The sequence below is a fragment of the Homo sapiens genome, chromosome 7 (assembly GCF_000001405.40).
Source record: "Homo sapiens chromosome 7, GRCh38.p14 Primary Assembly".
In the NCBI taxonomy this organism is placed as follows: Eukaryota; Metazoa; Chordata; class Mammalia; order Primates; family Hominidae; genus Homo; species Homo sapiens.
In genome coordinates, this window is record NC_000007.14 from 12,631,059 (window position 1) to 12,646,839 (window position 15,781).

At 39.8% G+C, this 15,781-nt stretch overlaps 1 protein-coding gene across 3 annotated transcripts in view, besides 1 other annotated feature; it reads left to right on the forward strand.

Moving 5' to 3' along the window:
• Nucleotides 1–15,781, forward strand: part of SCIN (scinderin) — an 89,463-nt gene that overhangs the window by 60,339 nt on the left and 13,343 nt on the right. For 2 of the 3 annotated variants that reach the window (NM_001112706.3, NM_033128.3), the window contains 4 exons: nt 4,987–5,077; nt 9,289–9,459; nt 13,080–13,257; nt 13,526–13,647. In NM_001112706.3, coding sequence (NP_001106177.1) covers nt 4,987–5,077; nt 9,289–9,459; nt 13,080–13,257; nt 13,526–13,647 — 562 coding nt within the window. The remainder of the gene's footprint in view (nt 1–4,986; nt 5,078–9,288; nt 9,460–13,079; nt 13,258–13,525; nt 13,648–15,781) is intronic. The other variant, NR_156701.2, reaches the window with a different exon arrangement.
• Nucleotides 9,306–9,600: a silencer, noted in NCBI's record as "tiled region #10361; HepG2 Repressive DNase matched - State 5:Enh". NCBI's record gives its function as "represses a minimal TATA promoter and a strong SV40 promoter by Sharpr-MPRA in HepG2 cells {active_cell/tissue: HepG2}" and the evidence as "EXISTENCE:reporter gene assay evidence [ECO:0000049][PMID:27701403]".

Here is a 15,781-nt window from a genome sequence, read left to right on the forward strand (position 1 = left end):
CAAGTAATGCAAAAGAGTGTTTTGAGGAATTAACAGTTTGCAACCCATATAAATGCCTATGTGGACATATTAAAATAGAATAAATCAGGTTACAAATTTTAAATGCTAAATTTGAGTTTTAAATAGTAGCTATTTCTTGTATCATTTGAAAGTGTTTATTGAGCACTTTATGTGCCAAGCATTGTACTAATTTCTGGAGATACAGTGGTGGAAAGAAAACTATAACCCGTGCCTTCAGGAGCTTATACGTAATGAGAAACAGATGATTAACAGGTGTTTTTAGTGCAATATAAAGGATTTTATGTAAGATCAAGTTGAGTGATCTTTGGATAATTATATACAGACCCTCCACCATACCCCTAGGCTATTGGTTAAATATTTGTACCCTCTAGAACTCATGTTGAAACTTAATTTTCAGTGTGGAAGTATTGGGAGATGGGGCATTTAAGAGGTGATAGCTCTCATGAATGGATGAGTTCATTAATGGATGAATGGGTTATCATGAGAATGGGGCCAGTGGCTTTATAAGAAGAGAAAGAAGCCTGAGCTGGCATACTCAACCCCCTCACTGTGTGATGACCTGCACTGCCTCAGGAGTCTGCAGAGTCTTTGCCAGCAAGAAAACCCTCACCAGATGTGATCTCTTGACTTTGGACTTCTCACCCTCCATAACTGTAAAAATAAGTTCCTTTTCCTTATAAATTACCCTGTTTCAGGTATTCTGTTATAAGCAACAGAAAATGAACTAAGACAGGCTCCTAGAAAAAGTGACATTGAAGTGGGAGATAGACAGGCATGCAAATAGAGAAGTTGATCCAAGAAATGCAGGAAAATAGTGTGCTCCAATCTACTCGTCATAGAGTATGGCTGAAGAACATTTAGGGAACAAAAGATAAAACGAGGGAAATTAGAAGGAGCCAAATTGCAAATGGCCTCATAAACCATGCTGAAGAGGACAAACTTTATTTTTAAGACATTGGGGGTCACTCAAAGAGTTTGTATGGGGTGTTATATGATTGGTTTTCATTTTATTTTATTTTATTTTATTTTATTTTATTTTATTTTATTTTATTTTATTTTATTTTATTTTAGACAAAGTCTCACTCTGTTGCCCAGGCTGGAGTACAGTGGTGCCACTCTTGGCTCATTGCAACCTCCGCCTCCCGGGTTCAAGCTATTCTCCTGCCTCAGCCTCCCGAGTACCTGGGATTAGAGGCGCACACCACATGCCCTGCTAATTTTTTGTATTTTTAGTAGAGATAGTATTTCACCATGTTGGCCAGGCTGGTCTTGCACTCCTGACCTCAAGTGGTCCACCTGCCTTGGCCTCCTAAAGTGTTGAGATTACAGGCATGAGCCACTGCACCTGGCCTGTTTTTTATTTTAGATAAATTATTCTGATTGACATGTACAGAATGGATTGGTGGAGGAAGGCTAGCAACAGGAAGACCACTGGGAATGTGTTGCAATAATCCAGCTGAATGATGTGGCCTGAATTTAGTGTAGTGACAACAGGGAAGGAAAGAATGAAACAAATTTGCAAGGTGTTAAGGTATTGGCACCAGAAAAACTGTTAATGGGGAATGGAGAAGACAAAGTTGAGGATGACCCCTGGGTTTCTGGTCTGAGCATAAATGGGTAGTGTTTTATTTCCTGAGATTAAAAATCTTAAGAAGACAGGTTTGGCCCACACTGTAAAAAAATGCAAAAGGAAAAAGAGAAAGAGAAGGCACCACATCGGTAAAAGTTACTGTCTTTGGAATGCGGCTGGAGGGGATGGTCATTTAGCTTTCTTCTTTCCAATTTGAAATGTTCAACATTTCCATCATAAGAATGTATATATTGGGGGGATATCAAGAATGTAAGTTAGATACTTCAGAGTCCTTGTGAGTCTTCACCATTTGAAATCATGGATGTGAAGTATGTAAGTTTGTTAGTGTTGTATGGTTTGTGGAACTTCAAAAGCTTCCATAAAGATAGTGAAGAGGCTTTCAAAAAATAAGCAGTTCCGTTGAAGACTGGCTTTTAAATTAAACAACTTTCCAGTTTATGTGATAATTTCAATACAGGGACATAAACAGGTTAAGTCCAAGAGGCAGAGTTAAAGGTGAGAAACTAGAATTAAATCAATTATGAAATCACTTGTATGCTGAAATGACAGGACAAAAAAAAAATTCAGCAATGATATTTTATCTGAAATAACAGGTAATTAAAATTGAACAGATGACAATGATGAATCTCTTGAAGTAGTAACTCCCATTTTTACACAGCACTCATCTTTAATGAGCAACAACCACCACAGGTTTATAAAGAAAAAATATGTCAAAGTAGATTGCTTTTTTTGTTCAGTATACAATTTCAGAATTAGAAACAAAGAGTGACTGCGTTATTTCTTGATTGGAGTGGAATACTTGAATCTGTGTGGATGGCAGTTTGGTACTTGGGATCCAGAAGAGAGGTTTAAGATGAGTAGAGAAGTATTTGTTCAGGGTGTCATGAGGCAGAACTTAGTGATGTTTTGCAGGTTTGCTAGTTGAAATACTCCAAAAAAATAAAAGGAGCAAAATGAAGACAAAAGTTAGGTAATATTGTCTGTTCGGTGGTTGGATTTCTTCCCTCCAGAATAAAAGCAAAATGGAAAGCAGACATTTTTAACAGCTGGAAGCGAGAACTCAGGAAACCACAGATGTGACAAAGAAACAATGCATGATAACAGACCCTGCGGTGGCCCATCATCATGCAGCTCTGTGTAACTCCTCACCTTGTGCTTCCAGTGCACACAGATGTGTTGGCTAGCATTATAGGCTCTTGGGAAATGTAGGCTATTGACATTAAAACACTACGTTTTTAGTAGTTCCTTTATTAGGGAAAGCATTTTTTATTTTCTTATCAACATTTGTGTGCATGTTTTTTTTTTTTTTGCACCCCTCTGTAGAACATTTTTACATCAACCATTTGCCTTTTCTGGTCCAGTGGAAAATTCTGTGATAAGATACACACCCTGTTCCCAGTGTTTTGGGCGGAGGGGGGTGGGTATTGCCCAACGTGGCAGGTTATTTTAATCTGTTCCGAGTATGGAACAGTTTACTGTCAAAGTTTTAGAAGAAAAGATATATTAGGATTGGTGCAAAAGTAATTGTAGGTAGGCCGGGCATGGTGGCTCACGCCTGTAATCCCAGCACTTTGGGAGGCCGAGGCAGGTGGATCACCTGAGGTCAGGAGTTTGAGACCAGCCTGACCAACATGGAGAAATCCCGTCTCTACTAAAAATACAAAATTAGCCGGGCATAGTGGTGTATGCCTGTAGTCCCAGCTACTCGGGAGGCTGAGGCAGGAGAATCACTTGAACCCAGGAGGCGGAGACTGTGGTGAGCCTAGATCACGCCATTGCACTCCAGCCTGGGCAACAAGAGCGAAACTCCATCTCCAAAAAAAAAAAAAAAGTAATTGCGGCTTTTGCCATTACTTTTAATAGCAAAAACAGCAATTACTTTTGCACCAATCTAATAGTTAACTTTCAAAGTCTAAATCCAAGTTTAGTATTCCTGCTGCTAAGCTAACCACTAGTCAAATAGAAATGGGAAACCTGGCTAAAAATAAATAATGCTCAATGAATGCTTTTACCATGTTTGGGGCTTTGTTTTGTTTTTTTACTGTCTTCTCTACAAGCTCATCAAACAGCAGATCTCCCACAAGTTGCTTTACAGGTTAAGGTGACACAGAGTTAACAGCCACAAGCCACCCTAGAAAGAGAGGCTACGAATGAACTGGACATGTTGATTGACCCTTATCTGAGTGTTGGAAGTTTAGCCTCTTGTATAGCCTTATTAATAATTCCTTATGGTGGGAAGGGTGCAGTGCCTCACCCCTTTAATCCTAGCACTTTGGGAGGCCGAGGCGGGTGGATCACCTGAGGTCAGGAGTTTGAGACCAGCCTGACCAACGTGGTGAAACCCCGTCTCTACTAAAAATACAAAAATTAGCACCTGTAATCCCAGCTACTCAGGAGGCTGAGGCAGGAGAATTGCTTGAACCTGGGAGGTGGAGTTTGCAGTGAGCCAAGTTCACGCCACTGCCCTCCAGCCTGGGTGATGAGTGAGACTCTGTCTCAAATAATAATAATAATAATAATAAATAATTCCTTATGGAATTGCTAAGATGACAAAATGGGACCTCTCCATTGTCTACTTCTCATTATTATTTTCTTGATTTTTCTGGGTTACAGACGTTTGGTTCATGCTCACCAAATATTCATAGAAAGACAAAATGCTGGCTGGGCGCGGTGGCTCATGCCTGTAATCCTAGCACTTTGGGAGGCCGAGGTGGGCAGATCATGAGGTCAGGAGTTTGAAACCAGCCTGGCCAACATAGTGACACCCCCATCTCTACTAAAAATACAAAAAATTAGCCCGGTGTGGTGGCAGGCGCCTGTAATCCCAGGTACTTGGGAGGCTGAGGCAGGAGAATCGCTTGAAGCCGGGAGGTGGAGGTTGCAGTGAGCCAAGACCACACCATTGCACTCCAGCCCGGGCGACAGTGCAGGACTCCGTCTCAAAAAAAAAAAAAAAAAAAAAAAAAAAAAAAGGCAAGAAAGACAAAATGCCCCTAACATTCAACCTAATAAGTTTGGCTCGTATTTTCATCTCAGATGGATTATTTTTCACTGTAGAGGTGTTTTCTAAAAAGCAGGCAGCTCCAACTTAAAATCAGGTGAACCCAATTACTTAGCTAAATTATGTAAGAAGCAAAAGCTCAATTTCTTTAACATGGAGATAAAAATGCCTACCATATACAGTTCTAGACAACACATAGGACAATTAAATGTTAGATACCTTGACAAAAACAATAGCTTAACAGCTTGTATCATGTTAAAACAGTTCGCTTCTTCTTGATCTTTCATAATAACTTGTCTCTGCTTGCAATGCCTACATGTGACGATCTTAAAACTTAAAGGCAAGCTAATTCGTTTCACTTTCATTCCTCTAGGCAAGGAGCAAATGCCACACGAGATGAGCTGACAACATCTGCGTTCCTGACTGTTCAGTTGGATCGGTCCCTTGGAGGACAGGCTGTGCAGGTTGGGATATTTTTACCCCCAAAACTCACACAAGTTAAAGTCTTGCTAGCTCAATGGATAGCTATAGCTCCCTCCCAAGTTGGGATAGAAATTTGACATTTTCTTGATATGAACTGTGTTTTCATTTTGAAATTCAAATATTCCTACTCTCATTTCAAATTAGTTATCTCAGATTCTGGAAAGGAGGTAGCAAACAAAAACAACAAAAATCTATCAACAGGTGTAAGATTCCAAAAGAATCTTCCCAATAGAATCACACCCTATGTCAATGATAGCCTCTTGACATTAAAACGGTTTTATCTGTATTACTGTTTCCAGCTGTTGTTCAACAGATACAGTAGGCAGAATAATGCCCCCAAGGTGTTCATGTCCTAATCCTCAGGACCTGTGAGTGTGATATGTTACAAAGCAAAGGAGAATTAAGGTCGGAGATGGAGTTATGGTTGTTCATCAGCAGATCTTAAACTAGGGAGATTATCTGGGATTACTGGGTGGGCCTAGCGTAATCACCAGGGTCCTTGTAAGTAAAACAGAAGCCAGACAGAGTCAGAGGGATGCAGCATGGGAAAGACTCAACCAGCGATTGCTAGCTTTGAGGATAGAAGGAACAATTACATATTATGTAGTTGCAAATTGCTAGAACGAGGATATCGAACATTCCCAACACAAAGAAATGATAAATATTTGAGATGATGTTATGCTAGTTACCCTAATTTGATCACTATACATTGTATGTACCCCATGAATATCTACAATTATTATTAATCAATTAAAAAATAAAATTAAAAAAAAAGAAGGTGGAAGAGAGTCCCCAGCAAAGGAATATGGGCAACCTCTAGAAGCCAGAAAAAGCAAGGAATAGATTGATTCCTAGAGCCTCTGGAAAGGACTATAGCCCTGCAATAGCTTGATTTTAGCCCTGTGACTAAATTGTTATTCCAGATTTTAGCCCAGTTACTAAATTAGCCCCATAACTCATTTCAGACTTATGACCTCCAAAACTGTAAGATGATAAATTTGTGTTGTTTTAAGCCACTAAATCATAGTAATTTGTTACAGCAACAATGAGAAATAAATACAACAGTGCAGAACAAGCACAGATTAACAATTCGAATTAATAGGTTAAAAAAAGATGCATTTTCTTACACTCTCAAATCGTAAACATGCGTAAGTTATGTTTTGCACAAGTAAACAGAAATAAATCTTGATAAAATAGCATGGGTCCTTATATTTCCCTTTTAGGTACCAGAATCTTTACTGAAACAAAGTCCAACACCCAAAAGTGAGGGAGGAAGTGGTGGAGAGGGAGAAAGGATGAACAGAAATGGGAGGGACAAAGAGAAAAGACAGGGAGAAAGGGGAAAGAAAAGGGATAGGAGGAGAGGAGAGGGAAGAGAAGAGAGGGAAATCATGGAGGAAGAAATGAGACAAGTAAGGAGGAGAGGAGGGGGAAGAGAAGAGAGGGAAATCATGGAGGAAGAAATGAGACAAGTAAGAAGGAGGAGAGAAGAGGAAGGGCAAGGGAGAGGATAGTGTGAGAGGGAGGAGAGATTGAGAGGGAGGAGAGATGTATTTTTTTACTTGGGTATTTCTGAAATAAAAAATTACTTGTCGAGAATGACTGAATCCAAATTCAAAATGAAAATTTCATGTAATTATAAATGAGTCAACTTTTTAGTATATCTATCTATCTAACTTATCTATCTTAGCTATCTCTATCTAGAGACAGATTAAGATAGAGAAAAAGGGACAGGAAGAGATAATATGCTGTTTTATTTATTATAAAACTTTAAATGTTATACAATATCAGACGATATCAATGTCTAGTTCTAGATCTCCTCACTGTGTCTAAGAGACTGCTGTTTCTAGCCTGGTTCAATCTTCTGTACTCTCCTAAGTTCAACTGCTCCTCCTTTTATATTTATGGTGGAGTATCTGCTACTTGTTTCAGGACGCTTATTAGTTACCATGAAAAAGTTTTTGGGTCTTTGTTTTTTAGATTCCCTTACTGTATAACTGACATACAGACTTCAAGAAGACCCTATTTTCCTCTAGTGTGCCCCAATGTGTCCGTCTGCTTTCTCGTTCATTCTGTGAGAGAGTACTTTCTTGTTCCTTTTTCCTACAGCTAGCTGGAACTATCTCTCTCCCTCTCTCTCATTCCCTGTGTCTTCCTAGCTGGAGCTGCACACACTGCTGCCTGTTTTCTGCCTGCCTGTTGTCTTTGGCCAGTTTCTGAGAAGCCATCTGCTCCCATCTGGTGGGAAAAGCATCTTACAGATTAGAGTTCAAACTGAAAGCAGGTGCTTACTTGGCCAATGCAGTGATGTTTCTGATACAGCAGCATTAAACACTCCCTTTACATGGTTGTGCCTGTTTAACTTCCTCATTCCTGATGTCAAGGGAGCTAAGACTCTATATGGTACAAAAGGGTTTTTCTGTCTTGTTTTCAAATCTTTGTAAGTGTGTAATTGCTTATTTTAATGTAATAATTAAATAGAGAGAGGCAAGTTAGACACTTCAGAACATAAAGTATAAGATGTGAAGGCTGAAGTTGGTCTTCCAGCTGGTCTCCTTTCCATCTTGATACAAGTTAGTAGATACAAAAATCAAGTTAAATCTAAATTTAAAGGCGCATGTTAACTTTTTAAAAATAAGTTAACTTGCTACTTTTAATCAATAAATTAATGAAATGACTGAATTCTTTAAATGCACTCAATTCTATGGAATTTAGTTGATCTTTAAGGTATTACTTACCAAACTATTAAAAAACTATGAAGACATGCATTGTCTTACATATTTCATATTTCATAGTACTATATTTGATGCACTCGATTAATGAGTTACCATGAATTGTTAGCCGGTTGAATCCTAAATTGACAACAAAATGGTAATTTTTAGTTTAATCACTAGATGGCAGTAGCTTACAATAATGCATGAAAAAACTAAAGTATTGCGGTTTTCAACGCTCCTTTGTAGAATATATTAACCATATTGAACATATTTTAATCAGCCTTTTTTCTTTCTTATTCTCCTTTGACAGTAAGGGATGGGCCTTAATCAGTGTTTCTCTTTCTCTCATGTTGGCAATTAAAGTTTTCTCCATGTTATATGAAATGCTAAGCTAACAGTTTTAGGTATTTGTGAGACTATAACTGACAAAACGTTTCCATAATTTGCTGCTCACTTATTTGAATGCCTACTAATTGAAATATATTTATGAAGTCAATTATTTTCAATGCCTTTCGGCCTCCCTATATGCAGGTATGTATATGCATGTAATGAGTACATGCATCAGCATTCCCATTCACCTGGCTTCTAGAAAAAGACAAACCAGGGGAAGTGAGACAGTTCAATTTTAGCACAGGGCAGAACAAATGAAAACAATGGGAGACTGACATGAAATTTGAACTCTTTATGTAAATGCATCAATAGTTTGTGTGAGAAATAGGAAATTCTAATCCAATATTTGGGGCTAATAAATAAAATCAAGAAAATAATTTCCCTTTTTTTTTCAATTTCCTCATCCTGAAAAGTCTTTATATTGTATTTTTTAAAGTTTCTTATATTGAGCATATCTACTATTACATTTCTATAGGTAAGTTAAAAAGTAGAAAACATATTCTGTTTATTTTTGCCCATTTTTAGTGCTTGCATAGCAATCTTTGTGTGTGTGTGTAATTTTTTTATTTTACAAATACAGAGATATAGAAATAATGGGTATGATTTGGGGTCATCTTATGTTGTGAAGCATTTGAATGCACATCTCTTAACCTTCTGAACCAGATCCAAAACACGTGAGATTCTAGTACCTCTGTAAATATCTGTAAGTGTTACTGGTGCCCTTGAAAGAAGAGTGATTTTCACATAAGGTCGCAGACACCAGCACCTTTTCTCTTTCGGAGATGTAGATGAACAGACTTACATCTTCATACTTTTCAAAAACAGAAAGTATTGGAGCATGGTGATGTTTCCCCTGACAAGAAACTACTCATGGACACCGTGCCTGCGATAACAAAAGATTCTCAAGTCAACAGGGAAAATTAATTATCATTAACCTATATGTTCTGTTAATCATCATTCCTCCTGCTCTTGACTTTTTATTTTTTGTTTTATTTTCAAAAAGACAACATAAGAACACATTTGGAACTAAAACCTTCTTTCACAGCACTCTTAATTATATTTCTTTTATTCCCCCTCTCCCCCATCAGATCCGAGTCTCCCAAGGCAAAGAGCCTGTTCACCTACTGAGTTTGTTCAAAGACAAACCGCTCATTATTTACAAGAATGGAACATCAAAGAAAGGAGGTCAGGCACCTGCTCCCCCTACACGCCTCTTTCAAGTCCGGAGAAACCTGGCATCTATCACCAGAATTGTGGAGGTAATGTCATGCATTCCATAAAACATGCCCTAGTTATGGACTTCCCAATGGACCTGAGCCATCAGCAAATATTAGACTTTAAAAACTTGGCAAATAAACTCCCTTCATTCCTATAATTAATCCACTGTTCAAAATTTTAAAAACATTTAAAGCAGGAGAGTTGAGTAAAAAGTAAAACTCCAGATACCAGGCCTTTCGCAATTTTCAATTACATTGAACCCAAACAGATAAATTTTTAAGAATACTGTCACAAATTAGCTGTCAAAAGCGTGAGGCTGCTTAAGCTCCATCTTGAAAGGCCTTAGGTGGATAGATCATGGGTGATGGTCAGGTGACTGATCACACTGGAGACATTTGAGAGGGAAGGCCCTCGTTTGCCCAAGTGTAACAAATATGGGAGGCATGTCCCACCACACTGGACCAGAACCATAACTGAACTGGCCCCATGAGCTGTTTCTGACAGCAGCTGGGATCAAACCCCATGCCATGGTGCCATAAGATAAGAAGACCTCCAGGTATAGACAAGGCCAGCCTGCCCAGGTTTTTAAATGGCTAAGTGCTTTCACCTTAGGACAATCCTGTCACCCCAGTCACCATTGAAATCCAGGTCTTCCACATCACCCTTACGCTGCCTGGCATGCTCTGCATATCAAGCCTGGAGCTGTCCCTCAAACTTGCCCTCCATACAAGTCAATCAGCAGACCCCTTAAACTTGGGTTGGTCATCTCATCCCTCCACCTGCAACTTCTTCTCTAAGCCTCCCTCTCCCTGCACCTGATTTCTCTACGACTGTCCTCTGAGGACAGATTCCCTGGCAGCCCTCTCAAGTGGAACTTGTGTTTTCCCAAGACCCACTCACCATGGCCTCAGGGATGGGGCTGGACAAGTTCCCTCCCTGCTCACCCTTACCTCTTTGATTTTATCTTGCCTCTCTCTTTTATATCAGACTTTCCGTCCTCTAGACCTCTTGTGCTTTCATAGACTGAACTGCCAGTCCTCCTCTTCTTTGATGACTTCAGCCATTATCTCACTATTTCCATCTCTCCGGCTTCTCTCTTCCAGCAGTCTTTTCCTTGACCGCATTTCATCTCACACTCACATGGTCCTATACTAAATTTTGCCATTTGCAATAACTATAGCTCCTCAGAAATCTGTTTCAGTCATCTAATCTCTGACAACTCTCTCCTGTCCTTTGGCTCCTTTACTCCAGAATGCACATTCTGGCAATTCTCCAGGCCTATAGCTGAATCCATGAACCCGCTGCCTCCTTCACACCCCATGCTTCATGTCCTCCTTTCTCCCCAGATCCCCAGCACCCCCTTCTCTCTACTGATAACTTTGATTCAGAGTTCACAGAGAAGATAAATCAGGCATAAATCTCCTTATCTACTCCCCTGCAACTTTATCAATTTGTCTGCATCTGTGTATATATTCTCTTTCCCTCCTCTTTTATGAAATAAATATCAAATTTTTATTTATTTTTTAAGTTAATATTTTATATTAGGAATTTCCATATGATGAAGTGTCTTGTAAGTGAATATTATATACTATATGTATTATATATATACTATTATCCATAAATTAGCAATAAATAATATATTTGTGTACAGTGATATATCAATAAATAATTTATTAAATGTTTATTACATAGACTATTGCTCCTATCTAAGGCCCAATTCCTCCCCCACCCATCTGGCCACCAACTTCTGTCCGGATCCTTCCCTCTTTTGCTTTCCTAAGGAATCTCCTGGATTTCTGTCTTTCCCGTGCATTTATTCCATTTCTATTTCATCATGATTGCAGGCAGTAATCTCCTTTCATTCTGTATTATCAATTTATTTTTCTATCTGGAATCATTCACTTTGAACTACAAAGATGGCTGTAACAGAAACCTCCTGTCATTTCTTTAAAAACTGTGTCTTGACCTTGACCATGACCTTCTCCAGCTACTGCATCATTTCTCTGTCCTTCTTAAGAGCACATATCATTGAAAGGTTTGTCTTGAGTGTTTTCACTCACTCACCATCTCTACTTTTTAAAGCCAGTTCTCTCTAAAGCCACCTCAATCAGGTATCCATCCCACTAGTCCACTGAAATGGTTTTTATCTAGTTTGCCAGTGACCTGCCACATGCCACAAACAAAGGTCACTTTTCTGATCTCATTTTTCTCAACCTCCCACTAGCATTTGCCAGTCAGCCTTTCCAGTTTTATTGAGCAATTCTTTTTTCACTAGGTGAATGTATCCCCACACTTACAATGGTTTCTTCCTAATCTATCGGCCACTCCTCTCGGGCTAGTTTGCTGCGTTTTCCTCTTCTGTTTGACCTCTAAGTTCTTGAGCGCTCCAAGTCTCGGCCTTGGCCCCTTCACTGTGGTCTCATTCAGTCATATGGTTTAAATGCTACCATATGTATTGATCTCATCCAGAACCTTCTGTGCACGGATTCTTCTGTGTTTAATTATGACTATTTTTTTGACATTTAAAAACTATCAAAATGACATTTAAGCATACATTATCTACGGGCATTCTCAGTTGATTTCAGATGGGAAAGTCAACCAAAATGCACCATTGTTACATTCTGATCTCTTCCCCAGTGGACATTCCTTTGTGAGACCTCATCAGCTGCTTTCTGTGCATCTCTTTATTTTCTTGCAGCCTCTCAAACCAGCTTTCACATTCCCAACCTCTCTGAAATGCACCAGTCAAGATCATTTTACAGGTCTTTCTGTCTTCATCTCCCGGCAGGCTAAGGCTTTATAAAGATTCTGTTTTAGATCTCATTTCCTGATCTCACACCAGTCTGGGCACAGGTCTCTTGTCAGCTTCTATCCATCATCCGGGCTCTTTCCTCTGTACCCATAATGAGATGTTTGTATTAGAAATTGGAAGCCCTGGAAGCCAGACTTGGTTCCTGTAATTCTCCATAATCACATCTGATAGATTCCTTTGAGCTTGTTCTGTGAGGCCTCATTCCTGCTGGGAGAGGACTTTAACTATTTTCCTGAATGTTCCCAATTCCTGGACATTCCTTTAAAACTTCCAACAGCCATTCCTTCCACCTCTAGTGTTCTCTCCTTCAACAGGCTCCTGACAAACCTGGTGAAATTCAACTCTCCACATCATGGCTGCCTTCATCCTGGCAGTTCAGTGTGGTTGGCCAAGCAGCACCATTTGGCACAGCAAATCACCCCTGCCTTCTTGAAGCATTTTCCTCACTTGGCCTCAAGATCACTTTACGCTCTTGTTTTCCTCCTCCGTCTCAGCTGCTCCCCCTCAGTCTTGCTTACTGGTTCTTCTTCCTCTTTCTGGAATCACACATCACACTTGTTTGACAATTATACAGAAAGTCATACCAGTGACATAGTAGCACAGTCATATGGTCAGACAGTTCTCACAGAGACAGACACAGAGTCACAAATCCACAAGTGACACAGACCGAAGTGCTCCTACTCTAGGGTTTAAAATACCATAGTGGTGTCCCAGAGCGGCTCTGAATTAATTTCCTGGGATAGGGCAGAAGGCGATGTATGGTTTGCCACAGTCACAGCTTCTGGGACATGTTTATTGAGGGAGCAGCAATGAATTTGAATCATTGTTTTATTTTTCTTCATATTCCAGGTTGATGTTGATGCAAATTCACTGAATTCTAACGATGTTTTTGTCCTGAAACTGCCACAAAATAGTGGCTACATCTGGGTAGGAAAAGGTGCTAGCCAGGAGGAGGAGAAAGGAGCAGAGTATGTAGCAAGTGTCCTAAAGTGCAAAACCTTAAGGATCCAAGAAGGCGAGGAGCCAGGTGTGTGCTCTGGGGCCAAGGGCACTAACTAGAATTTATACTGATACGATTGCTAATCATCTTTTTTTCACCAAAAAGTCACTTTCTAATGGCTTATAAGGGTTAACAATCTCTCCATTAGTTGCAGAGGTGGGTGGGTGATGGTACCTGATTTCTTTAAGTAATTTCTCAACACTGAAATCAAGGTGAGATAATATTTGTTCATATAAAGCGACAGCAAGCATATGTCCCTGAAAATGCACTGGATAACTGAGTGTGTTTTCCACAGAGGAGTTCTGGAATTCCCTTGGAGGGAAAAAAGACTACCAGACCTCACCACTACTGGAAACCCAGGCTGAAGACCATCCACCTCGGCTTTACGGCTGCTCTAACAAAACTGGAAGATTTGTTGTAAGTGTCCTTAAAAATAGTGCGATAGGGCTGGTTGCGGTGGCTCATGCCTGTAATCCCAGCACTTTGGGAGGCCGAGGCAGGCAGATCACCTGAGGTCAGGAGTTCGAGACCAGCCTGACCAACATGTAGAAACCGTCTCTACTAAAAATATAAAAATTAGCTGGATGTGGTGGTGCACACTTGTAATTCAAGCTACTCGGGAGGCTTGAGGCAGGAGAATCACTTGAACCCAGGAGGCGGAGGTTGCAGTGAGCCAAGGTCGCGCCACTCCACTCCACTCCAGCCTGGGCAACAAGAGCAAAACTCCGTTAAAAAAAAAAAAAAAAAAGGGCCGGGCGCGGTGGCTCATGCCTGTAATCCCAGCACTTTGGGAAGCTGAGACGGGTGTATCACGAGATCAAGGAGTTCCAGACCAGCCTGGCCAATATGGTGAAACCCCCTCTCTACTAAAAATACAAAAATTAGTCAGGCATGGTGGTGGGTGCCTGTAGTCCCAGCTACTTGGGAGGCTGAGACAGGAGAATCTCTTGAACCCAGGAGGCGGAGGTTGCAGTGAGCCAAGATCGTGCCACTGGCACCACTGTGTTCCAGCCTGGGCAACAGAGTGAGACTCCATCTCAAAAAAAACACAAAAAACAAAAAACAGTGAGATAGAACCTAACAACGCCGGGAAGGGCATTCCCATGTGGCTCTGACACCTTCAGACATGCTACTGTTCTGAATCTCAGTTTCAGCCTGCCTACAAACCACGGTGACAACCTTTGCTCTACACAGGGTATTTTTTTTAAACTTTTATTTTAAGTTCAGGGGTACATGTGCAGGTTCGTTACATAGGTAAACTTGTGTTGTGGGAGTTTGTTGTACAGATTATTTCATCACCCAGGTATTAAGCCTAGTATCCATTAGTTATTTTTCCTGATCGTCTCCCTCATCCCACCTTCCACCTTTCGATAGGCCCCCAGTGTGTGTTGTTCCTCTCTATGTGTCCGTGTGTTCTCATCATTTAGGTCCCACTTATAAGTGAGAACCTGCAGTATTTGGTTTTCTGTTCCTTACACAGGGTATTTTAAGGATTAATGATATAATTAATGTGAAAGCATTAATGTTGTGATGTCCTATATAGATTAAGCTGTTCTTAAAAGTACTAGCTACTTTACACCTGTGTGAGCATGCAGTTGCTGTATGAATATATATGTGGCTAGATGTGTTAATTTAATAATTTGGCATTTTCTGTGGGCAGCAATCATTATTTCTGATCAAACTATGTAAATTTTACATGTCAATTTCCCAGCGGAGTAAAAATTTTCACCATATTGACTGAATTAAAAATATTATGGAAATATTATGATCATTGGGCAAAAATCACAGAAAGCTATATATGCAGTTACAAATTAACTGATATCAACAGGAATGTTTTATTTCATAGTCATTTACAAGCTTTGACTTCCAGTCCAGTCAGAAGTAAAATTAGAAGTATGTGTATGCATGTCTTAGTTCAAGCTCCTATCACAAAAATACCATTGACTGTGTGGTTTAAACCACAAACATTTATTTTTCATGGTTCTGAAGGCTGAGAAGTCCAAGATTAAGGCAACAGCAGATCTGATGTCTGGTGAGGGACCACTGTCTAGCCTTCTTGTGTCCTCACATGGCCAAGAGAGCAAGCTCTAGTCGTGTTCTTTCCTTATAAAGACAGACACTAAGCAGGGGCACTGTACCCTCATGGCCTCATCTGAACCTAATTACCTCCCAAAGGCCCCACCTCCTACTACCATGCCATTGGAGGCTAGGGGTTTAGCATAGGAATTCTGGAGGCAAACAAACATCCAATACAAAAGAATACAGGAGTGATTTTACACTAGGCTCTGAAATATCATCCTGAACCACAGCCTCTCACCTAAATTTCAAAAAAAAAAGTTATACTTTCTCTGTTTGACGTGCTAAGTTTTTGGTAAATTTTTCATTTAAAGAATGAATTCTTCTTTTATATAAAATTTGATCCACAGATTTTGGTCAACATGCCCTAGTGAATAAATGCAAACTTCATTTTTCAACACAGGAAAGAAAATTTCCCACGTATTTTGTCAGATATTTTGATTACTAGAAATAAAATTATTTGAGATGAAGTGGT